The 27,788-nt window shown below is 41.5% G+C and overlaps 1 protein-coding gene across 7 annotated transcripts in view; it reads right to left on the bottom strand.

Annotated features, from left to right (window-relative positions):
• RAPGEF2 (Rap guanine nucleotide exchange factor 2) overlaps positions 18,589-27,788 on the bottom strand; it is a 257,095-nt gene continuing 247,895 nt past the window's right edge. For 4 of the 7 annotated variants that reach the window (NM_001394067.2, NM_001351726.3, NM_001351725.2 and 1 more), the window contains 4 exons: positions 25,852-26,077; positions 24,716-25,275; positions 22,604-22,909; positions 18,589-20,648 (listed from right to left, as the gene is read on the bottom strand). In NM_001394067.2, the coding sequence (NP_001380996.1) occupies positions 20,623-20,648; positions 22,604-22,909; positions 24,716-25,275; positions 25,852-26,077 (1,118 nt within the window). In that variant the 3' untranslated portion in view covers positions 18,589-20,622. Of the gene's footprint in view, positions 20,649-22,603; positions 22,910-24,715; positions 25,276-25,851; positions 26,078-27,580; positions 27,704-27,788 lie in introns of all 7 variants that reach the window. The other 3 variants (NM_001351724.5, NM_001351727.4, NM_001351728.4) reach the window with 2 other exon arrangements.

Genomic DNA, 27,788 nt, shown 5'->3' with positions numbered 1-27,788 from the left:
AAACCTTGAGCTTGACACAGAGTGCTGATTGGTGCATTTACAATCCTCTAGCTAGACATAAAAGTTCTCCAAGTCCCCACCAGATTAGCTGGATACAGAGTGCTGATTGGTGCATCCACAAACCCCAAGCTAGACCCAGAGTACTGATTGGTGCATATACAATCCTCCAGCTAGACATAAAAGTTCTCCAAGTCCCCACTCACTCAGGAGCCCAGCTGGTTTCGCCTACTGGATACCGTGCTGGGGCCACAGGCGGAGCTGCCCGCCAGTCCCACACCACGCGCCTGCACTCCTCAGCCCTTGGGCGGTCGATGGGACCAGGCGCTGTGGAGCAGGGGGTGGTGCCTGTCAGGGAGGCTCGGGCTGCGTGGGAGCCCACCACGGGGGGCTTGGGCATGGCAGGCTGCAGGTCCTGAGCCCTGCCCTGCGGAGAGGCGGCTGAGGCCCAGTGAGAATTCGAGCGTGGCGTGGGTGGGCCGGCAGTGCTGGGGGACCTGGCGCACCCTCCACAGCTGCTGGCCTGGGTGCTAAGCCCCTCACTGTTTGGGGCGGGCGGTGCTGGCCAGCGGCTCCAAGTGTGGGGCCTGCCAAGCCTGCAACCACCCGGAACTCACCCTGGCCGGCAAGCGCCGTATGCAGCCCTGGTTCCCGCCCACACCTCTCACTCCACACCTCCCCACAAGCAGAGGGAGCCGGCTCTGGCCTCAGCCAGCCCAGAGAGGGGCTGCCACAGTGCAGCGGCGGGTGAAGGGCTCCTCAAGTGTGGCCAGAGCGGACGCCAAGGCCAAGGAGGTGCTGAGAGCCAGCGAGGGCTGCTAGCACGTTGTTACCTCTCACTTACATACTATGAAATAACACCAGAAATTCAAGCTCACACAACGATGAAAACTTTAACTTAATATTTCAAAATATGCTCAACAAACATAAGGAAAACTATTATATGCATTGATAAAACATAAAAATCAGAATTTTAAAAAATAAATAGAGCAAAGAAAAATTTAAATGAGATATTGAAAAACTCAGAAAAGGTTTAGGGAAAAAAAATATAAGAAATAAAGGGGCTGGGTGCGGTGGCTCACACCTGTAATCCCAGCACTTTGGGAAGCCAAGGCGGGCTGATCACTTGAGGTCAGGAGTTTGAGATTAGCCTGCCCAACTCTGTCTCTACCAAAAAAATACAAAAATTAACTGGGTGTGGTGGCGCCTGCCTGTAGTCCCTGCTACGTGGGAGGCTGAGACGAGAGAATCACCTGAGCCTGGGAGGCAGAGGTTGCAGTGAGCCAAGATCATGCCATTGCATGCCAGCCTGGGAGACAGAGAAAGACTCTGCCTCACAAAAAAAAAAAAAAGAAAGAGAGAGAGAGAGAAATTAAGATAAACCAAATGAGATATGACAATAAATACAACACAAAATGCTTAAGGGAAGTGGAAGATGGAAAGGAGGAAACTTTTAAATAACAAGGGAAATGAAAAAATATAAAAAGGATTTGATAGAAAGTGAAAGCTATAGAAGACAGTAAAAGAAGTTCTAGCATGTTTGATAGGGAGATCTCTGAAGAGGAAAACCAAAATAATTGAAAAGAACAAACACTAAAATTTAAAATGCAATAAAACTTTCCTTAGGGAGAATTTGAAACTACTTGTTGGATGGACCTCTGCTTGTATGAAGTAATAGCCCAGAACTTACAATGCCAAGACTTAGTCTAATAAAACTATAGCTTTTTTTTTTTTTTTTTTTTTTTTGAGATAGAGTCTTGCTCTTTCGACCAGGCTGGAGTGCAGTGATGCGATCTAAGCTCATTGCAACCTCTGCCTCCCAGGTCCAAGCAATTCTTCTGCCTCAGCCTCCCGAGTAGCTGAGATTACAGACATGGGCTGCCATGCCCGAGTAATTTTTTTTGTATTTTGTAGTAGAAATGGGGTTTCACCATGTTGCCCAGGCTGGTCTTGAACTCCTGAGCTCAGGCAATCCTCCCGCCTCAGCCTCCAAAAGTGCTAGGATTACAGGCGTGAGCACGTTTTGACCACGCCTGGCCAAAACTATAGCTTTAAGAAAAGAAAAGAAAAGAAAAAGTCCTTTAGACTTCATAAAAATACCATACTACGGTTGAGCCTTGAACAACATGGGGTTGGGGCGCTGATGCCCCATGCAGTCAAAAATCTGTGATAACTTTTGACTCCCTGGAAAATTAACTATAAATAGCTTACTGTTGACTGGAAGCTTTAGCGCTAGCTTGCTTGTCTTTTTTTTTTTTTTTTTTTTTTTTTTAAGACAAGGTCGCACTCTGTCACCCAGGCTAGAGTAGAGGGATGCAATCATGGCTTATGGTGGCCTCAACCTCCTGGGCTCAAGTGATCCTCCCCCAGCCCCAGCTTCTCCAGTTGCTGGGACAACAGGCGTGTGCCACCACACCCAGCTAATTTTTTTGTATTTTTTGTAGAGACAGAGTTTCACTATGTTGCTCAGGCTGGTCCTGGGCTCAAGTGATCTGCCTGCCTCAGCCTCCCAAAGTGCTGGGGCTACAGGCGTGAACCACAATGCCTGGCCTGTTTTATGTATTATATACTATATTGTTACAATAAAGTAAGCTAGAGGAAAGAAAATGTTCTTAAGAAAATCATGAGGAAAAGAAAATGTATTTACTATTCATTAAGTGGAAGTGGATCATTATAAAGGCCTTAATCTTCACTGTCTTCACGTTGAGAAGGCTGAGGAGGAGGAGAAGGAGGATTTGGTCTTGCTGTCTCAGGGGTGGCAGAGGCAGAAGAGGTGGAAGAGACGAAAGAGGATGTAGGAGAGCAAGCACACTGGATATAAAAAAAAAAACAAACCTGTAGGCCCGGTGCAGTGGCTCACACCTGTAATCCCAGCACTTTGGGAGGCCGAGGCGGGTGGATCACCTGAGGTCAGGAGTTTGAGACCAGCCTGACCAACATGGTGAAACCCCATCTCTACTAAAAATACAAAAATTAGCTGGGCGTGGTGGCAGGCGCCTGTAATCCCAGCCACTAGGGAGGCTGAGGCAGGAGAATCGCTTGAACCCGGGAGGCAGAGGTTGCAGTGAGCTGAGATCATGCCACTGCACTCCAGCCTGGGCAATGAGAGTGAAACCACGTCTCAAAAAAAAAAAAAAAAAAAAAAATGCCTGTAAATGAACCAACGTAGTTCAAACCCATGTTGTTCAAGGATCAACTATGCTTCAAAGGAAAAGACGTACAAATTGACAATCAATTTTGAGTTAGCACTACTTTATGCAAGAAGACAATGAAGTGTCATTTTTACTACACTCAAGAAAAGAAAAGGTGAGCTGAGGGTTTTTACGTCAAAACTGAATTTCCAGTGCAAGAGCATTCCCATAAATCTTTCCTAACTAATCTATGAGAGAACTAACTCCAGACAACCAGAACAACCAGAGAAATAGTGATGTAAGGATGGTGAAATATAGCTAAGGTTGTAAGCCTGGCCCCTACATTCCAGGAAATCTCTACAATTTTGCACCAAGCCACAAACTTCTGTCTTATTTCAAGCAAAGAATTGCCAGCTTTTGTGGATCTGATATTTCTATTTTAGATGCAGACAGCTGAGCCAACCCTCAACAGTTTTCTACAGAAAGACATTCCTGGAAGATTCAGGACATGTGTTAAAGTATGAAAACAACATTTTACTTACCTGTAATATCTATTGCTATCTAATAAATTACCCCCAAAACATAGTAACTTAAAATAACAAATAGTTTCTGTGCTCAGTAATCTGGGAGCAGCTTATCTGGGTGGTTCCAGCTCAGAGTCTCTCATGATGCTGCAGACAAGCTGTCATCCGGGCCACAAGTCATCTCAAGGCTTGACTGGGGCTGAAACCCCTCTTACCAAGTTCACCCACATGGTTGTTGGCAGCCTCAGTTCTTCACCGTATGGGCCTCTCCACATACAGCCTGAGTGGCCTGCAGGGCCTCCTGGTGTGGCTGCTGCTTTCCCCCAGAGCTATGATCCAAAAGAAAAGCAAGAGTTCAAGATAGAAGTTTTTATTGAAAAAAATGCATATAAATGGACCAGTACAGTTCAAACCTGTGTTGTTCGAGAATCAACTGTGCTTAAAACGAAAAGAAACACAGATTGACATTTGATTTTGAGTTAGCACGAGTTTATGCTTGAAATATTTTTGTAACATAATCTTAGAAGTTACGTACTATCGGCCGGGCACGGTGGCTCATGCCTGTAATCCCAGCACTTTGGGAGTCCGAGGCAGGTGGATCATGAGGTCAGGAGTTCGAGACCAGCCTGACCAACATGGTGAAACCCCATCTTTACTAAAAATACAAAAATTAGTCGGGCGTGGTGGCCCGCGCCTGTAATCCCAGCTACTCAGGAGGCTGAGGCAGGAGAATCGCTTGAACCCGGGAGGTGGAGGTTGCAGTGAGCCGAGAGCACACCACTGCACTCCAGCCTGGATGACTAGAGCGAGACTCCGTCTCAAAAAATAAAAATAAAAAAGAAGTTACGTACTATCACTTCTGACATATCCTATTTGTCCAACAGACCACCACCCATCATGAGAAAGGTCAGAAGGGTATCAAACCAGGAAACAGGCACCACTGAAGGCTATTTTGGAGGTCGGAGATGTAAATATCTCAAAGTCCTGCAATGGAGAGGGGGGACATCCGAGTTCAAACCGAGACCTATCTGACTCCAGAAACTGTTGTCTTTTTAATTTATTCAAACCAAGATGGAATGTGGATTATGATCTTTTTAGATCTAGATCTTTTTCTTATAATTAAGCTACAAGAAAAATAGAACTAATTTTTCTAAGAGTCACATATCTATACTTTTAACAGGTGAGTGGGTCTTACCTTTCAAGTGATTCTGGATGTCCACAAACAACTTCAGTGTGCAACCTGCAGCTTAGCTGCTGGTCGCTTTCAAGTAGAGAAACTCAAATTTTTCATGCATGTGATTTACACCTATTTGTTTTTAGTAAGAAAGAATCAAAACGGTCTGGATAAGAGGAACCCATCCTAAACCTTAAGACAGAAATTCTCAAATTTTATGTGGATAGATTTCATTATATAATATGAAAAAAAAACCCCACATTCCTAAAGCTATTCCAGCAATCTCAACAGAAAAGTCTTTAACTGTTGGGGAGCTGTCAAGTTTATAGTGGCAAATACAAGTTTTTCAAAATTCTAATTTTCACTTGAAAGCTTGAATTTTATTATTGACAGTAGTCAATCAGTTGTTTTCTCTGAAGTGGTGGACTCACTTTTGTTATTAAAAAAAGCAAGTTGGTTGGATACAGTGGTTAAAATTTTTGTGAAATCTTGTCCCTTGAGTGGTGTCTAATTAATATTCTAGGTTAAGAAATGGAAAATAGAAATAAAGCACTTCTGCAGCATATCAAAAGAGAATAATTGTCTCAAGAAAAAGCATTTTTTTTTGTTTTAGTGTAAACTGAACTAGTTCCTTTTTTCATGGAACATAATATTTTCCAGAAGGATGACTAGTTTTTCAGATTTGGATATTTGGTAAACCTTTTTTTTTTTTTAATTTACAGACAAGATCTCACTCTGTCACCCAGGTTGGAGTGCAGTGGCGTGATCTTGCTTCACTGCAGCCTCCTCCTCCTGGTATCAAGCAATTCTCCCACCTCAGCCTCCTGGGTAGCAGGTGTGCACCACCATGCCCAGCTAAGTTTTTTGAGTATTATTTATTTATTTATTTATGTTAGTAGATACAAGGTCTCACTAAGTTGCCCAGGCTGGTCTCAAACTCCTGACCTCATGATCCGCCCGCCTCGGCTTTCCAAAGTGTTGGGATTATAGGCGTGAGCCACTGCGCCTGGCCCTTTTGATTATTTTTAAACTTTCACTTGACTTTTTTTTTGTTTTTGAGACAGGGTCTCACTCTGTTGCCTAGCCTGGAGTACAGTGGTGTGATCATAGCTCACTGCAGCCTCAAATTCCTGGGCTCAAGGGATCCTCCCACCTTGGCGTCCAGAATAGCTGGGACTACAGGTGCACACCACCATGGCTGGCTAATTTTTAAAATATTTTCATAGAGACAGGGTCTCACTATGTTGCCCAGGCTGATCTTGAACTGCTGGACCCACCTCAGCCTCCCAAAGCTCCAGGATTTTATTAGCCACTGTGCCTGTTCAGGTACTTTTTAAGGACCTTTGAGACATTTTTCTTAATCCTGTGCTCTGATTTCCTGCCCTGGGCTCACATTTTCCACCCCCTTTCCTGATACTTACCCCAGCCACATCCCAGGCAGCTGCTAAGCAGACCATGCCAGTTCTCTGCATGCTCAGTCCATGGGTCAGGGAATGGTGGAAGCACCTGCTTTTCCTCTAGTCTACCCTAGACCTTCACAAGGGGTGTGCCCTGCATTGTCAGCATCTCCCATGGCAGAGGAGGTGCATTCAATCATGGCTTGAACACAGCCACCATACCGCTAGTCCTAGCCCATGAGATGATCTGCTGCCTGAGAAATTGTAACCCATCCTACTTTGCTATCTCTTACAGATTTATGCTGTTACAATGTGTTTGTATACTATATGCATCTCGCCATGCATGTGTTAGAAAAACATGTTTCATTAGAAAAATATGCAACAGTTTGATTCTTAAGAAAAGTTATTGTATACTAAAAACCAACTATAAAGCAGATTAATTTTTTTTTTATTTTTTTATTTCCATAGGTTTTTGGGGAACAGGTGCTATTTGGTTACACGAGTAAGTTCTTTAGGGTCGATTTGTGAGATTTTGGTGCACCTACCACCCAAGCAGTATACACCGAAACTGATTAGTAGTCTTTTATCCCTCAGCCCCTTCCTGCCTTCCCTCCTGAGTCCTCAAAGTCTATTGTGTCATTCTTATGCCTTTGCAGCCTCATAGTTTAGCTCCCACTTATGAGTGAATACATACAATGTTTGGCTTTCCATTCCTGAGTTACTTCACTTAGAATAATAGTCTCCAATTCCATCCAGGTTGCTGCGAATGCCATTAATTAACTCATTTTTATGGATGAGTAGTATTCCATGGTTTTATATATATATATATATATATATATATCACAGTTTCCTTATTCACTCGTTGATTGATGGGCATTTGAGCTGGTTCCACATTTTTGCACTTGCGAATTGTGCTGCTATAAACATGCGTGTACAAGTATCTTTTTCATATAATGACTTATTTTCCTCTGGGGAGATACCCAGTAGTGGGATTGCTGGGTCAAATGGTGGTTCTACTTTTAGTTTAGTTTTTTTTTTTTTTTTTTTTTTTTTTTTTGAGACAGAGTCTTGCTGTGTCACCCAGGCTGGAGTCCAGTGGCGCAATCTCGGCTCACTGCAAGCTCTGCCTCCCGGGTTCATGCCATTCTCCTGCCTCAGCCTCCCAAGTAGCTGGGACTATAGGTGCCCGCCACCATGCCCAGCTAATTTTTTTGTATTTTTAGTAGAGACGGGGTTTCACCGTGTTAGCTAGGATGGTCTCGATCTCCTGACTTCATGATCCGCCTGCCTCGGTCTCCCAAAGTGCTGGGATTACAGGCGTGAGCCACCGTGCCCAGCCTACTTTTAGTTTTTTAAGGAATCTCCACACTGTTTTCCATAGTGGTTGTACTAGTTTACATTCCCAACAGCAGTGTAGAAGTGTTACCTGTTCACCGTATCCATGTCAACATCTATTATTTTTTTATTATGGCCATTCTTAAAGGAGTAAGGTGGTACTGCATTGTGGTTTTGATTTGCATTTCCCTGATCATCAGTGATGTTGGGCATTTTTTCACATGTTTGTTGGCCATTTGTATATCTTCTTTTGAGAATTGTCTATTCATGTCCTTAGCCCACTTTTTGATGGGATTGTTTGTTTTTTCTTGCTAATTTGTTTGAGTTCGTTGTAGATTCTGGATATTAGTCCTTTGTCAGATGTATAGATTGTGAAGATTTTCTCCTACTCTGTGGGTTGTCTGTGTACTCTGCTGACTGTTCCTTTTGCACAGCAAAAGCTTTTTAGTTTAATTAGGTCCCAGCAATGTATCTTTGTTTTTGTTGCATTTGCTTTTGAGTTCTTGATCATGAAATCCCTGCCTAAGCCAATGTGTACGAGGGTTTTTTCTGATGTTATCTTCTAGAATTTTTATAGTTTCAGGTCTTAGATTTAAGTCCTCAATCCATCTTGAGTTGATTTTTGTGTAAGGTGAGAGATGAGTATTCAGTTTCATTCTCCTACATGTAAAGCAGATTTGATTTGAGATTGTGAACTCAGCAGGGCATTTCCTGAGGAGGAAGAAATGCTGAGAGTCTTATAAGAACCTAAAGCACCATAGGTCAGCTTCCAATGATCTCACCCATGACTTGCTAGGGAAACAATAGGGAGGATTGTTATCTAGAAGAGTTTTTCTTTCTCTCTCATTTTTAAATGGAAAAGGTGTCAATAAATTGGCAGATGATATTAAAACATAGGTAGACATTATGAACCATAAACCATGGACATGTTAAACTTACAATGCAATCAAGGAAAAGCCTACATTATCCTGGATATGCTGAGGATAAATGCCCAAGAGTTCAACTGCTGGGTTGTGTAGTAATTTTAATTTTATAGTGATACTTGAGTTTATATTAATATAAATATAGTACAGTACATTTATAACTTTATAGTACTGTTGAATTTTATAGGAATTTGCCAAACTGCTTTCCAAAGCAGCTCTACCATTTTACATTCCCACCAGCAATATGAGTGATCCTATTTCCCCACACCCTCTCCAGCATTTGGCATTTTTAATTTTAGCCATTCCGATAAGTACATTAAAAAAGAGTTTTTCATGGGTATCCCTTGGCGCTGCATCTGGGCACGGCTGCACTCATAAACCTGAGGTTTTGCTTTTAGCAACCTGGTGGCTCGGTAATGACCTGTTATGAACTCAATTGTAGTCTCCCAAAATCCATGTGTTGAAGTCCTAACTCCCAATGTGACTGCATTTGGAGACAGGGCCTTCAAAGAGGTAACTAAGGTTAAGCGAGGTCACAGGGCGGAGGCTTCAACCAACAGGACCGGTGTCCTTATAAGAAGTGGAAGACACCATGGATGCACATTCAGAGGAAAGACCCTGTGAGGGCACAGTGAGCAGGAAGCCATCAGCGAGTCAGGGAGAACAAATCTGGGAGGGAGACCTCAGGAAAGAACAAATATGCCAGCACCTTCGTCTTGGACCCCTGCCTCCAGAACCGTGGGAACAACATTTCTATTGTTTAAAACACCCAAGCTCCCAAGCTGTGGCCACTCTAGCAAACTAATACAAGGAATATAAAAGAAAGAGAACAATCCAAAATAAACTCACGGAGTCTTTGTTTTCTAATCCCTAACACTGCCTGTCCCCTCCCACTGCCGGCCTCCAGGTCACTAGCGGTCCAGCGTGCACACCAGTACACAGCGGTTATGTCTCCTGGGGGTGCCCACTGGACTCCTGGCTCTCTCCCTGCTCCTTCACAGATCTCTCTAGCCAATGGCCACTAACACCCCCCTCATGGCAGATGGCCATGCAGTGTGTTCCCTGTTTTCCTGATGATGCTTTGGGTTGTCACAATCAATAATGCTTTTACAGAACAAAATAAGGAACTGGAGTTTGCTACATTTGTATTGAAATTCTTCCTCTAGGGCAGCGGTTCCCAGCCTTTTTGGCACCAGCTACTGGTTTCGTGGAAGCCAATTTTTCCATGGACCAGGCAGGGGGATGATTCTGGAATAATTCAAGAACATTACATTTATTGTGCACTTTATTTCTGTTATTACATTGTAATATATAATGAAATAATCATACAACTCACCATAACGTAGACTCAGTGGGAGCCCTGAGGCTGTTTTCCTGCAACTAGACGGTCCCATCTGGGGGTGATTGGAGGCAGTGACCGATCATCAGGCATTAGATTCTCATGAGGAGCACGCAACCTAGATCCCTCCCATGCACCGTTCACAATAGGGTTCGTGCTTCTATGAGAATCTAATGCCGCTGCTGGTCTGACAGGAGACGGAGCTTGAGCGGTAATGCCAGCGATGGGGATCAGCTGTAAATACAGATGAGCTTCCCTTGCTTACCCACCCTTCAGCCCCTGCCTGTGGCCCCGTACCAGTCTGTGGCCCAGGGGTTGGGGACCCTGCCCTAGGGTTCACACATTCCAAAGAGGTGATTTGGAGACTCCACTTTAGTAATAGAAGGAAGCCCTCCTGCATGCCAGCCTGACCAGGACCAGGCTACAGGAATTGCTCATCTAGGGGAATTTATTGGGTGCATGGCCACAGCAGGAGATGCCACAGGGCTAAGCTGTGGTGAAAGCGAGTTTGCCTCAGAGCACTTTTCTCACAGTTGAAAACTGGCTTTATCCTCACCAGGAAAAAAAAAAAAAAGGTCAAAACTCATGCAGACTTTCTGTCACATTTTTTAAAAAAGCATGGAAGCCCATCTCCTCTCTTGAGAACTTCTGGATGGGGATTCCCATACAGCTTCATATACACACATGTCACAGGAAAGGTAAGCAGGACCAAACAACTGGAATCCTTCACATTCTTATATCTGAAAGAGTTCTCAGAAGAGAAATAATCTCTTCTCAGGAGATGGACAGTTTATTTTCAGAGATAAAAGTTTGTTGCTATGTAGAAATAAGCCAGGGAAAATGGTTTGGAATATCTTTAAAAGGGTTAGAATATTTTCCAAATGCCTTCTGATTTCTTGACATCAGAAATGTTTAAATATTTTTTTTAGTTGTAAAACTGCACTCACTGTGTGCATTTACTGTTCCCTTTTTTGCTTTGAATCTTTGTCTTCTTACCCTCTCCCCACTATATTTACATACAAACTTCCTCGCCTGGGACAGAAACAGGCACATCGTCTTCTTCACACTTCTGTGTCACATCAAACAGACTGACTGCTCTTTCTGCACTGCCAAGAACTTCTCAGTAGACAAACCCCAGTCTGACCTAAAAAGTTAATCAATTAATTTTGTAAGATGGTGGTGGCCATTACCTTGAGCAATTGTTTTAAAGCGGGGAAGGGCAAAAGCTTATTTTGTTCTTGGGATGGAAATGAACATTCTCCAAGGCTTTTGTGCAGAGAGTGATAGGATGAGAACTTGAGCAAGAAAAGACACTCATGAGCTTGTCATAAGTTGTAAATGGGGGTTGAAAAAAGCCTAAAGATTTGGCAATAGAGGATTCTGAATAAGCCGGAGAATGGGAATGGATGCATTTTAAAATTTCAACTAGCAGAACCACCCTTCCATGAAGTGTGGAACGTCACAGAAGAATACCAAAAACGGAACTGTTTTTTTAGGGCAGGGTGGGTGGTGATGGTGAGGGCGGTGGGAGAGCAGGGAAAGAAGGAAGGGAGGAGAGAAAAAAACTCTTTTATGGTAGAAATCAACTTACAAATATTGAAGAGCGAATAAAGCACCACAATGGTTAATATGTTTTATTTATTTATATCCCACATTGTTTCAAAAACACATCCAAGGTGTGGGGTTGAAAATCATCTGAAGCTCACTGAAGCACAAATTCCACATTGTGCCTGTCACAACAGGGTGGAGTCTTCCTGTCTGGGTGGACAAAGCTTGATTTAGAGACACAGTGAAGCCGCGCCAGCATTTCAAGGCTGGAGGGTGGTGTTTGCTCTTCAAAGAATCTCCTGCAGGAACGTGTCCTCCAGCAGGGAAGATGTCCTTCATCAATGTGGATTGCAAAGGGGCAACCTCTGGGTGAGACCCAAGGAAGGAAGGAGACCCTCCCTTAAGAGCCATTTATGAAAGATTAGCTCAGAAAGTCAAGGCTTTGAATGCGTAAAGTGGATACATTTGGGTTTCCTTTCTGGGTCTGGAGAAGGAGAAATGAATTTAAAGCATTTATAAGTAGTTTGTCTCTAATAGTGGTATTTATATAAATCCACAGATAAATTGCGTCCTCATGAATTGACTGGGTAAAATGAAATTTCAAATATAGGTTCAAGTTCAGCCATTGCACTCGCTAAGTAGAGATTCTCTGGTTTGGGGGAAGTCTGATGATCGCACACTCTATGAGAGTAAAAAGAAACAGCTATTTAAATATCTTAGGTGCAATCGTATATGACTGACCTTAAAGGACGCTTGAAATCAATGAGGTAAACCACTCTGAGCTCAAACCAGGTAAACTCAGTGCAGCAATCACGGGCAAGATTATGTAGTTAAATCTTTAAGTAATTAAGTAAGAGCATCTGGTACCTACCCCAATCTGAGAATGAAAGGATACAATCTTTTGCTGTTATCAGAAGCCTCCAATTTATGAGTGACATTAACTATTATTAATGGGAAATTCACTTCCCAAAGAGGAGAGTTTTCCTGCCTCAGGAGGGGTCTGCTCCAAACCACAGATATGAACTATTGTGTTGCTTTTTTTTTGCTTTTGAATATTTGCTTATTAATTTATTTCACCATTTAATTGTTTTCTTCTCATCCTTTCCCTTCCCTCCTTTTCCTTGCTATTATTCCACCTCCTTTACCACTATTATTTTCCTGTTTCTTCCCCTATCTATATTTGGTTATTTTTCATTATTTATTTATTTATTTATTTAGAGACAGAGTCTTGCTCTGTTGCCCAGGCTGGAGTGCAGTGGTGCGATCTTGGCTCACTACAACCTCCACCTCCCGGGTTTAAATGATTCTTGTGCCTCAGCCTCCCAAGTAGCTGGGATTACAGGTGCACGCCACCACGCATGGCTAATTTTTGTTATTTTTAGTAGAGATGGGGTTTCACTAGGTTGGCCAGGCTGGTCTGGAATTCCTGACCTCAAGTGATCCTCCTGCCTCAGCCTCCCAAAGTGCTGGGATTAGAGGCATGAACCACTGTGCCCAGCCTCCTTGGTTATATTATGATGGAGCAATAATCTATAGTGAACAACTTCTGCTCCTGCCTCACGGGTCAGTGAGGGGTCTGCCGGGGAGGGGCACAGTGGAATACCAGGTGAGCAGTCTCTCCTCTCCTCAGGAAAGTAAATGGAAGAAAGGACACAAGTACCACAGTTCGCCCATGAGTAGGCTGGTGGTTTTCATTCTACTGGTCCTCCAGCTTTTTGAGGTGAATTTTTGAAATTATGTATTCCACATTGTCAGTGTCCTTCTCTGGGCCTAGTTTTGCATGTGAGCAAATAATTTTAATTTTGCAGGGGTGCTAGAAATAGCTTGGTTAGACGTAGTGCCTGCGCTCAATGATTCACAACCTTTACAATGACACAAAAGAATGAATCAGATGGCCGGGCGCGGCGGCTCACGCCTGTAATCCCAGCACTTTGGAAGGCTGAGGCGGGCGGATCACGAAGTCAAGAGATCGAGACCATCTTGGTCAGCCTGGGGAAACCGCGTCTCTACTAAAAATACAAAAATTAGCTGGGCGTGGTGGCACGTGCCTGTAGTCCCAGCTGCTCAGGAGGCTGAGGCAGGAGAATCACTTGAACCCGGGAGGCAGAGGTTGCAGTGAGCCAAGATCACACTCCAGCCTGGGCGACAGAGCAATACTCGGTCTCAAAAAAAAAAAAAAAAAATCAGATGTTTTGGAAAATGCAGTGAATAAACTGTGTGGACTCACCAGTACTGTAATTGTACCTGAAGAGGGTAGAATGCCCCCTTCCTCAACCACATCCAGAGCCTTACCTTATGGATGTATTAACAGAAGGTACAACGGAAACAGTGTGGAACTTTGAATCCCGTGGACAAGAATTTTTTTGACTCAGTTTTAAAAATTAACATTTTCTGCAACTTCCTTATCTTTGTCAATGTTAATTTTTTTTTTTTTTCCCCTGAGATGAGTTCTTACTCTCTTACCCAGGCTAAAGTGCAGTGGTACGATCATAGCTCACTTGCAGCCTGGAACTGCTGGGCTCAGGTGATCCTACTACCTCAGCCTCCCAAGTTGCTGGGACATATTGGCACATGCTACCAAGCTTGAATAATTTTTTTTTTTTTAAGACAGGGTCTCCCTGTGTTGCCCAGGCTGGTCTTGAATTCCTGGGCTCAAGCGATCCTCCCACCTTGGCTTCCCAGTGTTGGGATTACAGGTATGAGCCACTGTACCCAGCCTATTCTCTTTATCTTAAGCATTCAGAATAAGAATCTTGAACATTTTACAAATTTTGGCTTAACTTTTAAGTAAGTCTCTTATATGCTATTAGACACCAAATTCTATTGATTTTTTTCCTTTGAATTGCCTTTGAAACCATACTTTCCAGGGCTTTGCTGGCTCAGGCCTGGATGATAGCAGGTTTCCCAGCTAGCTACCTTCCCTGCCTCACCCTCCATCCTGCCTGGTCCTGACTAATCAAGTCATCCTTTCCTACCATTGTCTCATCAAAAGATTCTGTCAGTTCTTTCTCCTTTCCTTCCTTGTTTCTTTTTATAAGCATTTACTGATCCCCTAAAATGAACAATCTCTAAACATTTTTTGTCCTGATCTCACTCCCTACTTATCCCAACCAATTTCTCTGCATCTTCTATTCATAATGTCCCATCTAATGAGGCATGACTCCTGTGTCCCACAGCCATGCCAATAGCCCTGCCTCTTGCCTTCATTCTTGTCTTCAGATGATACTTGAAGCTATAGCTGAAGTCTCGTCTCTTCTTATGGACACTTCAGTCTTCATTGACCTTTCACTCCACTGAACTTCTGTAGTCACACAAAACTGAACTCTTTAAACAGTCTTTTATCCTTTGCTCCTTTTGATTAATCTGAAACCCTTGCTAGCCTTGTTACGAGTCATTTATTTCACTTCTGAATATTCACCAGTCTGAGCAGTTATAGATGCCCCTTCACACATGCATTTTGTCTGATTTTTGAGTCTCCAATTTACCTGTGTAATTGAGGTCCTTTAGGTTGCTTGATATGATATTCATTTATTAAACACTTTGGCATTATCCCAGGCACTGTTTCTAGATGCTGAGAACAGAATGGTTATTCAGAGAGGATACACAAAAAACAGCTCTCCATGCTGGTCTCATGAAGAACAAGAACATTTCAGAGCCAAGCTTCAGGGAGTTGTTCTAAGACTGGACATTGTATTCAGGTGTGATGATGACAGATCATTTTATTGTTCCCTAAGAAGTGTCTTAAGTTTTTAACAGGATTCCTGCCTTTGATGAATTGCTTTCTTGACCTCATGGGCCCCTTCTTGCTCATGATTTCTGCATCCTCATTGCTTCTGTTAGTCACGGCTTCTGAATACTCACTTCTTTGGTGCGTCCTTTTTTTTTGCCTTTTCATAGAAATTCCCCAAAGAGAATGTGCTAAGGTTGTTAGTTGTTGCTTTCCTTCTTACTGGCTGGTCACGGCACTCATTCCAGGGCCCTCTTACAGACTGCTGGTGAGCCCACATTGGCAACTCTTGGATCAGACACCTCCTTCAATCCAGCTGTGATCAAGATGGTGGGATCACTCCGTAGGTTTTTCCATGTAGGGCCTGAGACACTTCTCTAAAGTAAGAAAGTATAACTCGAAGGTGCCTCGGTTCACTTTAGTAAAATCTGTAAATATCTAGCATCTAGAAAAGTGCTTGGACCACAGTAAATTAGCTCACTAAACTGTATCTAGAAGCATTGTACATATACATATTTTCATCTTAATACCAAATGTGACACTCACCTGATCCTAAAACCAATTTTGTAGTCCTATTTGGGGAAAAAGGTTTCAATCTATATAAATTAAAGAAAACCTCACGTATGTTGAGATACTATTACTTCATTGGTCCCCATTTGACCACAGTGCATTTGGCAAGGTCATACAATATTATTAAAATGTTTCTTTTCTGAGACAGAGTCTTGTCCTGTTGCCCAGGCTGGAGTGCAGTGGCATCATCATAGATCACTGCAGCCTTGAACTCCTGGGCTTAAGTGATCCTCCTACTTTAGCCTCCTGAGAAGCTAGGACTACAGGTGCACACCCTTACAACTGGCTGTATTTTTTATTTTTTGTAGAGATAGGGTCTTGCTTTGTTGCCTGGGCTGGTTCTTGAATTCCTGGCACCAAGCAATCCCTCTTGCCTCAGCCTCCCATAATGCTGAGATTACAGGTATGACCCACTGTTCCTGGCCAAAAGTTTCTTAAATTGTATTAAACTTACTTCTATTTTTGAGGTGTTGAACACTCTGAATTAAGTTGATTTCACTTTCAGTCTTTATAAAGCTGGTCATTTGACTCAATTTATTTCAGATATTTTATTCTAGGCTTAGACATTTTTCCCATAAGAATTGTTACCATCTTGATTGCCCATGAAATAAAGTCTTTTCTGGCATTTCTTAACCTTGCATGGAATGTCGTGATTGCCTCTATAAAATTTTCTGGTATATGGCTATGGCATAGTAACAACTAGCTTGCCTTGTACTTGGCTAAAATGTGAATCTTTTAAAAAATGCAACTCAGGCCGGGCACAGTGGCTCACGCTTGTAATCTCAGCACTTTGGGAGGCCAAGGCGGGTGGATCACTTGAGGTCAGGAGTTTAAGACCAGCCTGGCCAACATGGTGAAACCCCGTCTCTACTAAAAACACAAAAATTAGCCGGGTGTGGTGGTGCACGTCTGTAGTCCCAGCTACTTAGGAGGCTGAGGCAGGAGAATCGCTTGAACCCAGGAGGTGGAGCTGAGATTGCGCCACTGCACTCCAGCCTGGATAACAGAGTGAGACTCTGTCTCAAAAAAAAAGGCAATTCATAAATTATTTTTCAGTTCCAGTCAGTATTTTCGTCTCACTCTCAAATAGGTAAATTCTCACTTTAAAATCTTTCTTGAAAGTGTCATGTTGGCCTCAGCTGCAGTTTGCCTTACACATTTCCGTCTTATTGCCCCTTTCAACAACCTCTGCTGATATTATACCCTTAGTGAATCTTCACAAAATAATTTACCTCTGCAATCAACAACTTGACTCCTCAGTTGCTGCATTACGTTTATTCTCTAGGTAAGCCTTTTTTTTTTTTTTTTTTAAAGAATGCTGGTATCATGGGATAAAGCGCTCAAGAGAGTTTCCTATTTTTCTTTGGCATGAATGTAGTGCACTGGCGTTGAGAGGCAGAGACCAAAAGGTGTGTTGATACATGCATCCTCAGAAGCTTGCATTATTCATTTTGGGATATTATCAGTGAACTAAAGGTAAAACATATTAAATCATAGATGAGCATAAAATCTATACCTCCCAAAAGCAGAGAAATGGATTGAGGCTGAGAAAAACATTCTGAGGACTTCAACCTGTATGTATGAAAACACAGACCCCGGTCTGTGTGGCCTCTTTGATTAGGGTGGAGAGCATCAGACCTTCACCAAAACCTTCTACAATATCCCTAAAACTTGGCAAAGTTCTATTATTAACATAACATAAACTCTGTCCCTGCAAACTGTTACACTTGGCAAATACTTATTTCTGGAAACCCTTAAGTGGAGACCAGTCTTGTGCTACACGGAGGAAGTATCCTAAAACATAAAAGTCTAATAAAACCTAAAAGGAAAACGAACCATGCCCTATTTGTCACTGTCTCATATTTTTAGCAGAACACACACAGTAATGATAAAGAGGTTATTCTCCAAAACATCAGATTCTTAGTATTTTTTCAAAAAAAGTTTGAGAAAATTAAGCTGAGTGACAGTCTAGGAAAGTCCCTGAGGAATGGGTTTTAAAGTGAAAAGACAACAGAGATGAGCATGTAACAACATACACAAACACGCAGGTTCTTCATTTTTTAAAAGGTGTGGTTGAAGCTACTAGAATGGTTAAAAAATAAATAAATAAATAAATAAATAAATAATTTTCCCGACTATTTTGGTGTCCAGGTTTTCAAAATTTCTCAGCAAAATAGCTGGCACGAATACCTTGGAAAGATCTTGAAGCCTAGCCCTGGCCATTTTCCTGTTAGCTTCTGGAGGGACCTTCCTCCCGCTCCTCTTCAGGCTCCCTCACATGTTCCAGTGTTTGGTGCCTCTGCTTCCAGTTGCTTCCACTCTGACTTCTGAGACTTCTCAGTGGCTGATGGCTAATACTTTTAGTTATGCTTGCTTGAGGAAAAGAAATGAGTCACTCATTTAAACATGTGCGTAAGCAGGCTGCTACTTACTGGTTTTTACCTTTTAAAATTAAGTGCCCTTCTGATAGACTAAAGTATTATTCAGACTTACCACACATCAGCACTCATATTGTGTACTAGTTAGAAGTCCAGAATCACTAGCTAAATTGTACTCTCCACTTAATAATCATGACCTTGAATGTCAGTTTCTCTGAGGTCCTGTCTCTCAGTATGTATACTGGGAACCAAAATATTACGTACCATAAAGATTATTGTTGGAAACGGTTGAGAAGAGACAAATGTTATGCAAATATATTGTGACAGCATCTTCATTTTCAAGAAACACTGAATTCTGAACATGGTTTGGCTGGTGCTAACGTTAATGATATTAATTGCTTTGGATCAACAGAGATCTGCCTAAAATAAATAGGCTATTGGGCAGTTTCCAATAACCATGAGGCTAAATCTCTCCAGCCGAAGGACTTGCTTCTGCAGGAGACGAAAGGCTTCTATTCCAATTTAATAATAAAAAGCATGCATGATTCATTAAGAATATAGGCAAGGCTTTATGTTATATTTATTTATTTTCCAGCTTGTACAAACTGGATGTAGAAGCATAAACATAGTACATTTCTACCATCTTCAACAAAAATATAACCAATATGTACAATTATTGTATTAAAAATACAAAAGGGATACAGACTCCACCAATGTCTTTCTAAAAGACATACAGGTACAAGTAGTATCAAAAGTATGAGGAAATCACCAGTTAATTGTACATTCTGCACTTGACATCACAGAGCGAACTGAGATTAGCAGTCCTATGTTCTACAATTACTTAATGCTTAGATAACATTTGTGCAACTTGTGGTAGAGCTAGATTTCTGTCTTTCTATATGCACATGAGGTCCATAGCCTATATAATAAAACTGGCAAATAATGCATATTACATGTAAAATTACAAATGCATAATTGACAATGTAATAAGCAAGTAGACAAATGCCATGATACAGAAGAGAATTATTAAATAAAGCACTGACATTGTTTGATACAGTGAAAAAACACTGCAATTCCACTTTTAAAATTTGAAGCTATTTACGTTTATCTACTGATCAATATGATCAGCTGAATTTAATGGAAAAAAAATCCAAGACCAGCAGTTCCTCACATTTGAGTACTACTCAGATTGGCAGCCTTCACTTTTCCGGAGTCTGTGCAAAACAACACAAAAATAGAGTGGAGGGGTCATTTCAGTCATTATAGGGTTAATAGCAGCTGTGAGCAGATGGTTGCTACACTTAGGCCTTCTCTATATGCAGCGTCCATAAAGCCACTTGGAGGTTAGTCTTTGGTGACTAACCTGCCTTGCAAAGGCTGGCATGTCTAACCAGGTTTTTGATCTTTTATCACGTTTAAAGGCTTGTTTATTCCCTAATGCCAATTCAATAAAGGGAGGCTGTCTTGAAAGAGCAGTATAAACAGCTGGCATTAGCTCCAACATCCCAAGCTGCTTTCACTGCAATGCTATCCAGTTATAAATGTTTCTCTTAAAAAAAAACAAAAAAACAAAAAACAAAACCTACACCTCTAAATTAACAAAAATCAAAGAAATATAACTTAAAAATGGGGTTTGCCATCCATCTCAATGGAGCAGGACACATCCGCCAATGACACCGTCCTGCCTCCATAAGGCTCAGACAGGACACAAGGGTCCTAGTTCCCTCCCCTGGCCATGTGCAAACAGTTTTACAGAAGAACCCCATCCACTGGGGAAGGAGCAGATGAGGTGTCTTGGTATTAATTGGCTAACATTTCATACTTCCAGGATAGGGCACTTCGCGGGTGAGACCAGAAGGACATGGGAAGCCAGGGTCACAAGCCAGGTCTTCCCGTCTTCTTGGTGTGGCCACACCCTGTCCGGCATATTTGGTTTTTCAGAAACCAGGCTGGCAACCCTACTTAAGGTTTAAAATAATACTGTAATCATTAAATGGATATATATTTACTCTCTGAACAAAATCTTTAAACTCATTTTTTTTTTTTAAAAGGAGGACATTGTAAACAAGTGGACAAGCACTGTACTCAAAGGATTTCATTGTTTTTCTTTGTCTTCCTTGGTGGGTTAAAGGCCCCAAGTAGTTCAATGGCTAGCTTTTCTCATTATCCCAATGAGATCAAGTGCTAGGACTGGATTGAAATCTAAAAGGAAGATTAAAAAAAATCCTTCCAGGCATTGAGAAGTGCAGCCAGAGTGAATCATCTTGTTGTGATGATCTTGGAATTTGGAATGATACTGTGTGATGTGGCAGGCAGCAACAGTGGGAGCTCGAAGATTGCTGCACTGTGCATTTCAAGCAACAAAGTCTGAAAAGTGCCAGGGCAATTTCTTCACAGTATTTCACATGCAAAGGGGAAAGGAAGAAGGGGAGAAGAAGCCCCATGCTGCTTTTAAGGCAGGGAAGGAGGCAAACTGGTCCACCGTCCTCAGAATGTGAGTTCCAAGGCTCCAATGCTCAGGACGTCTTCTTGTGCTCTCCTTTCAGGTGGCTCGCTCTGCTTCCAGAAAAGTCTGTGCCTCAAACAGCAGAAACTTGTTCATCTTCTGCAAATACAGCAGGGAAGAAAAAGAAATCAATGAGCAAGCAAGTAATTTCTTGTGCTATAGAGAATATATTCACTGATGTGCTAAATAAAACTATCATAGTTATTCTTTTTAGTATAGCTCACTTAGAATCCTTGTCTTTTTTTCCTAAACAATGACGAACAACAAAAAGGTTAAAATGTATGCAATACATATCTTTACATATATACACACAATATTAAAAAGATATGCATTATATATTTTTGTTCAGAAAGTTGTTAAATTCATTTTAAAAAGTTGTAAAATAGCATGTGCCATTTAAAAAAAATATACGATCAGATACACATAAAAAGTCTAGAATATATAACAACATTTTAATAGTGGCTATCTGCAAGTGACAGGATTTTAAGTAATTTTCATTTGTAATGTTTTTCTATTTATTTAATTTAATTTAACTTTTTTGAGACAGGGTGTGGGTTTGCCATCCACAGTGCAGTGTTCTCGGCTCACTGCAACCTCCGCCTCCCGGGCTCAAGCGATTCTCCTGCCTCGGCCTCCCAATCTCCCAGTCACGTGTTGCTTTTTTCTATGATTGTGTAATCAAACATGTTAAACTGAAAACTTTAAAGAAGATGGGAGGCCATGTTCTCCTTCCTCATTCTCAATTCAGCATGGTCAGATAGATTTGTAGAAAGAACGCACAAAGAGTTATAAAGAATGTGGGTTCCTTCCTTCCTTCCCTTTCTCCCTCCCCTTCTCTCTCTCTTTCTTTTAGAGACCGGGTCTTGCTCTGCTACCTAGGCTACGGTGCAGTGGCACAATCATGGGTCACCACAGCCCTGAACTCCTGGGCTCAAGTGATCCTTCCACTTCAGCCTCCATAGTAGCTAGGACTATTGGCACACGCCACCACGCCTGGGTCATTTGAAAAATATTTTTATGGAGACAGGTCTCACTATGTTGCCCAGGCTTGTCTCGAACTCCTGGCCTCAAGCAATCCTCCCACCTCAGCCTCCCAAAGTGCTGGGATTACAGGCATGAGCCATCAGGCTGGCTGATAATGTATCTTTCTTTATCAGACTTTCATTTCCAAATGAGTCCCAATTCATTAAAAGCGCAAATATAATGTTTCCACAGAAAACTTTAACCATCCACCTTTGAGAATCCTACATGCTTCTAAAATTCTTGACAACAGCACAAACTTGTGAAATTTTCATTTTCTTTTCCTTTTTTTGAGACAGAGTCTCACTCTGTCACCCAGGCTGGAGTGCAGTGACATGTTGTTGGCTCACTGCAACCTCTGCCTTCCGGGCTCAAGTGGTTCTCCTGCCTCAGCCTCCCGAGCAGCTGGGATTACAGGTGCCTGCCACCATACCCGGCTAATTTTTGTATTTTTAGTAGAGACAGGGTTTCACTACTTTGGCCAGGCTGGTCTCAAACTCCTGAGCTCAAGTAATCTGCCCTCCTCAGCCTCCCAAAGTGCTGGGATTACAGGTGTAAGCCATCGCACCTGGCCTATTCTTTTTCTTAAAATAGGGTCACAGAAGTACTTCAATTTTAACGAGAATTAGAAAAGAAATCAAGTCATATAAACACTGTATTTTAAGTGACTCCCTCCATAATCTTTGGGATTTTTTAAGCCATTTAGGGAAACACACATACACAGACACACAGAAAGCAATCAAATTTTAGTGAGAATTGGAGAAGAAAACCAGTTATATACACACTGTATTTTAAGTGACTCCCTCCATAATCTTTGGCATTTTTAAAGCCATTTAAGGAAACACACACACACACACAAAAGAAAGCAGTCAACAGCTGTAACCCTAAATTTGGAACTCTGAATGTAGTGTACTTTGTGTAGTATATGGTTAGACATAGCTGACTGCAGTGTTAAGAGAACAGAAATGCCTTGGGAAGCAGCACAAGTGAACACATCTAACTTGGAGGTTTTAGGAATATTTATGTGCATATACCATCCTCCTCGGTGGAAAACCCTTGGGACTGATAGGGGGCGAGGCGCGGGTCAGACTCGTTCGGTTTATGCCACTGAGGTTTGTTCACAGGCCTGCTGCTGGTGGGATGCCCATGTGGCTGCTGTACGGATGAAGGCCCAGCTGTGTCGGAGGATCGTGCGACCATCCGCGATCTCTGAAGGGCCACGTTGTAGTCCGGCGGTTTCCTGGCTGGATGGGAGTGCCCTTCTGGAAAGTCAGTAATGGGAATTCCAATGTAGCCGGGAGGGGTGGGCGGGGGCTCTCGATACCTGCCCTCCTTTCGTGCTAGAGTAGAAACAATGCACCAGCATTAAAAACTAGTTCATGCCACAAAAGTTTATTAAAAATATAAAAATAATTACTAAAACAGCATCCACAGTGTAGCAGCAGATGTGCATTTGCATGGTATCGGTTAGAGGTGCGGTGTGAGGCAGGCCAGGGAATGCATGTTAACTAAACCAAATTTCACAATGATGTTATCTTTGTGTGGTGAAATAATTGGTGAGAGAAGCTGCTAGTCCATCTAAGTACTTTTATCTTTAAATGGGCTGCTTGTCCATTTAAAATGGTCTGTAACTATAAAATAGTAAGATTAAAACCTAACCCCTGGATTTATTGGAAAGACTGAAGCACAGGAAGAACCTAAGTACACAGCACTATGCCTAGAACCTGTTTGTGCTTGGTACAAGTTCCCTTTTTCCTCTCTGCCTGCCGGATCTGCCCTCTTTCTGGGCATTTATCTTTACCAGGCAGAGAAGCAATTCTACATCACTCTCGGGTCTCAAGACTTCACTTACAGAAACAGTGAATTAAAATAAATTTGGAAAAGTCGCACAAAGGATACCAATTTAAAAATTCTAAAACTATTACTATAAGGTGTCTATTTTTCTTAAAATCCCTTTATTGATGCTCATGACCTAGAATATGAAACCTGTATAGGCCAGTAAAACTAAAGTTTCATTTTCTTGAACTTTTAAAACTCAATTGTTAGGAACTAAAAATCATTCTTCCTTCCTTTGCAATAAAAATTCTGAGTATTAGTTGTAAGCACTTGAAAAAGTCCAACCTAAGAATATTTATTAACTGTTTTCTCCTTATTCATTGTAAAAGGATATTAAACTTGAAATCTACCCATGACTATTTACATGGCTAAATAACTACAATTTTCCTACTAATAAAAGTAATGTCCGTAATGATTATACTCCAGAATTTCTCACTCTACAACCTATCATCTGTTCCTACACTTCGTCTATATAGATGTTAATTGTGCCATAGAAAACACATCTCAACAGGACTGAGGGCGCATGAGAGCCTCTTCTAACAGGAACAGCAGCAGCAATAGCTTTCATGTACTTAGTGAATCTACTATCTGGGCACTGTTCTAAATACTTTGCATAAATTTCCTTGAATCCTCACACTAACTCCATTAAGTAGAAATTATGAAGCTCATTTTACAGATGAGGAAACAGGCACTGTTTTGTATTTTACCCAATGTCACAAAACTAATAAAGTGGCAAAACAGGGATTCAATCCCCAGTCCGCCTGACTCCTAAACCCGTGCTCTTAGTCATTACACTATTAGCACCTCTCCCTCCTTCTACAGCGTGCACAAAGAATTGCTTATCAACAATGTGCGTGCAGAATAAAAATCAATGGAAGACTTTTAAGTATACAAAGCGTATAGTTCTAAATACAATCAAGAGAACAAAATAGAAGAATCAAAGATATAAAAGAGTTTCAATTAAAGAAAAATTTCTCCTCTATGAATAATAGGAATCCATCCTGATTTTCAGGTTAAGAGAAAAAAATTAGACTAGATAATATTCACAATGACAATCTACTCATCCTGATAGCTAAGATTTATTGAATGTTTTGTTATATAGGAACAGATCTGTAGGTACCTGACCACAAAACCTGGGCTCTTAACCACTATTGATTTCAAAGACCTTAACACACCACTAATTTGGAAGTCCTACATAGCAATGGAGAAAATGAGGAAAAGAACCAACAAACACATAATTTTACTATTGTAATAAGTTACATTAAAGACATGATCCAGACATGACAAAGTCCCCCAATTTTAAAACTTACCAATGAGCCCCTTTGTAGTACTTGATGCCACAGCTATGTGGGCAGGCATGGGGACAGGCTTGGTTTCTTCCGTAGTCACAGACGTTAGGCTACTGCTTTCGGCTTCAATGGAAACATCCTTTCCACCCCTCCGCTTTATTGTGCCTGTGTCACCTTCTGAGTCTTCTCCCCAGTAACCTGTGGAAGACGCCCAGCTTGCTCGGGACTGGGCTTGTTCAAGGCTCTCTCTACTTTGATTTTGCCTGTTATACTTTGTGCTATGATCAGAAAACATAATTTGGTCCATATGGCTGCTTGATGCCCATAAACCTGCAGGATCCCCTGAATAATCAAAGTGAGTATGCCCGAATGGAAGAGTCTCCCAGCTTCTCTGGTGCTGGATCGTCTGTATATTATCATGGGAGCCACTTGAGCATGACGTCCAGCTCCCACGGCCACTGTCAGCAGCATCAAGTGACGCGCGATCCCCCTGATCCTGGGAAAGTTCCTCTGTGCTTGGAGAAGAAATTACTGTAGCTGTAGCATATAAGCCTCGGCCCTCGGACATTGGTGCATAGGACCTAAGTGGTTAAAAGAAATGGAAAAGAAAAAAAAAACAAGATTGATAACTAATTCACCTATGATAAAACCAAAATACCCTTTTTCCTAGAAAGGTAGCTTGCTTTCATCCCAGAAACAGGATAAAAGTAGCACTGAATTGCCTTATATTGGCCAGTTCTGCCATGTCTAGCCTTCTGACTTTATCATTACTATAAAACAGGCATGCGGGAAAAGAACGCAACGTGCCATTAAAAAAAAAAAAATTCCCCGACAACATTAAGGGTGGCTCAATATAATTTGATTATTTCAGGAAGGCAGCTCATACGAAACAACTGGGATGGATCCTACAGTCACCCTCTGCCTTCAGCACAGAACAACTGTGTTCCAATGAAGAATAAACTTAACTAAAAAAGCAGTCTGCTTAACAAAAATAACATGATACTTAGTGTAGAAATTGTGAAAATCAGAACTGGGATGGCAGAAAAATTCTTAGGCATTATGTAAAATAAATAAAAACAAACACTGGAAGAAAAGACTCATTATTAAAACAGAGATGGAAGGATAAATTCAGAAGAATATTAAAAAGAGCCACCTACCCCAAGCTATACTGATCAGGTTCAATCATGGTCCGCCTCTCCATCCTGCCCATCCCTAGGTTTGTTTCCACGATGCTGACAGAATGCCTCTGGCGCCTCTCATCGTGCAGTGAGACTGGCACTGAGTCAAAAGACGAATTGCTAACAATACTGGATCGTGAAGAAATTTCACTGTGACCAGAATCTGAAAAATTATCCACAGTACCACTGGGAGCCAAAGTATAGCCTGCATGAGAAATACAACCGTATTAATTAGACTCTCTAGGTTTATAACATCAAAGGGAAGTCTACCAAATAGAAGCAAAAATAAAATGCAGGCATAGATATCTCTTAAGTGGGGAGAAAAACCCCATTTCACTTGTAGAGACCACATGACTAAGAGACAAATGTTTTATTCTAATGAAGCTTAAGTTGTTTAATCGAAGTTTAGAGAGGAAAAAAGAAAGTATCCTACAAGCTAGGAAAAGATGCAGAAAAGGCACCACTCAACTATTCTTAGCTCCCTTACCTATATAATTACACTATTAGTCTACAGAAAAGAAACCATGAAGAATAACGGATCAGATTTTAAAGTATGTTTTTTTCAAAATGCAAAGCCACTGATCTTGTTTTCAACAGTTTTCAATTTTTAGAACTTGTATGGCATAGACTAATTCAACTGGAAATACCTGTATCCTACCTACAATTTTAAGTAAACATATAAACAAAAAGAATAAGAAATAAGACCTGAAGATGTCTTTGAATTTTTGCCATTTGGTTTTTCAATATTAATATTGGTTGAACCACATAAAAGCCAATCGTTTTGAAGGAGTTAAAGGGCACTTTTCACAAGATCATTACTATAGAATATCTAAACAGATGTCCACTTCTTGGCCTGAAAGGACCCTTAACTCTCTTTTGCTACTAAAAATAATTTTGAAAGACACAATGGCAGGGGCCTATCTTGATTTTTTTGTTTTTGAGACGGAGTCTCCCTCTGTCACCCAAGCTGGAGTGCAGTGGCGGGATCTTGGCTCACTGAAAACTCCACCTCCTGGCTTCAAGCGATTCTCCTGCCTCAGCCTCCCGAGTGGCTGGGATTACAGGCATGTGCCACCATGTCTGGCTAATTTTTTTTTTTTGTATTTTTACTAGAGACAGGGGTTTCACCATGTTGGCCAAGCTAGTCTCGAACTCCTGGCCTCAGGTAATCAGCCTGTCTTGGCCTCCCAAAGTGCTGGGATTACAGGCGTAAGCCACTGCACCCGGCCCTATCTTGGTATTTTTAATGAAAAAAATCCAAATCTTCTTTCTCAATATTCATTTTTTCTTGTCTACATTACTAGGGATCTCATGTTACTTAAATATTGACTTTATCTTATATGCAATGCAAATTTCTTCAATGCCACTTACCTAAGAAAAATTAAAATCTAGAGCATCTAAATGTTGCCAGTTTAAGTATGTTCTTTCAGCATATTGGTAATTCCTGATTTATTTTTTAAAGGCTGCACAGGTCTTGATAAGATTTAATGTGTTCATTTATAAAATGTCTTTTTATAAAACCACACTGCAAGTTCTGACAGATAAGATTTAAAGCCCTCCCTGAACAGTCTGCTTAAAAAAAAAAAAGTTTCAGAAAAATAAATCACTCAGATGGAGCACTTGACATTTGGAGGAATTCTCCCATTTTCATTAACTAATGAGATGATTCCTCTCTTTCCCACCCCATTTTTGGTTCTATAAACCCCACCTATCCCATAGGTCCGTGGTGCATTGTTATTCTTGTTACTGTTCTCACTTCCAAGAGAAGAGGAGGAACTGGTTAAGTCCAACTGCCCGGAGCCAAAAGATCTCAGCTGATTGCCACTGCCACCTAACAACAGGATGAGAAAAGAATTGAGATGCATCCATGTAACAAGGACAGGAGAGACTGATACCCATACAAAATGCACAGATGT

The sequence above is a fragment of the Homo sapiens genome, chromosome 4, assembly GCF_000001405.40.
Source record: "Homo sapiens chromosome 4, GRCh38.p14 Primary Assembly".
Taxonomy (NCBI): Eukaryota; Metazoa; Chordata; class Mammalia; order Primates; family Hominidae; genus Homo; species Homo sapiens.
Note: the sequence above shows the minus strand (reverse complement) of the source record. Positions and strands in the feature narration are given on the sequence as shown.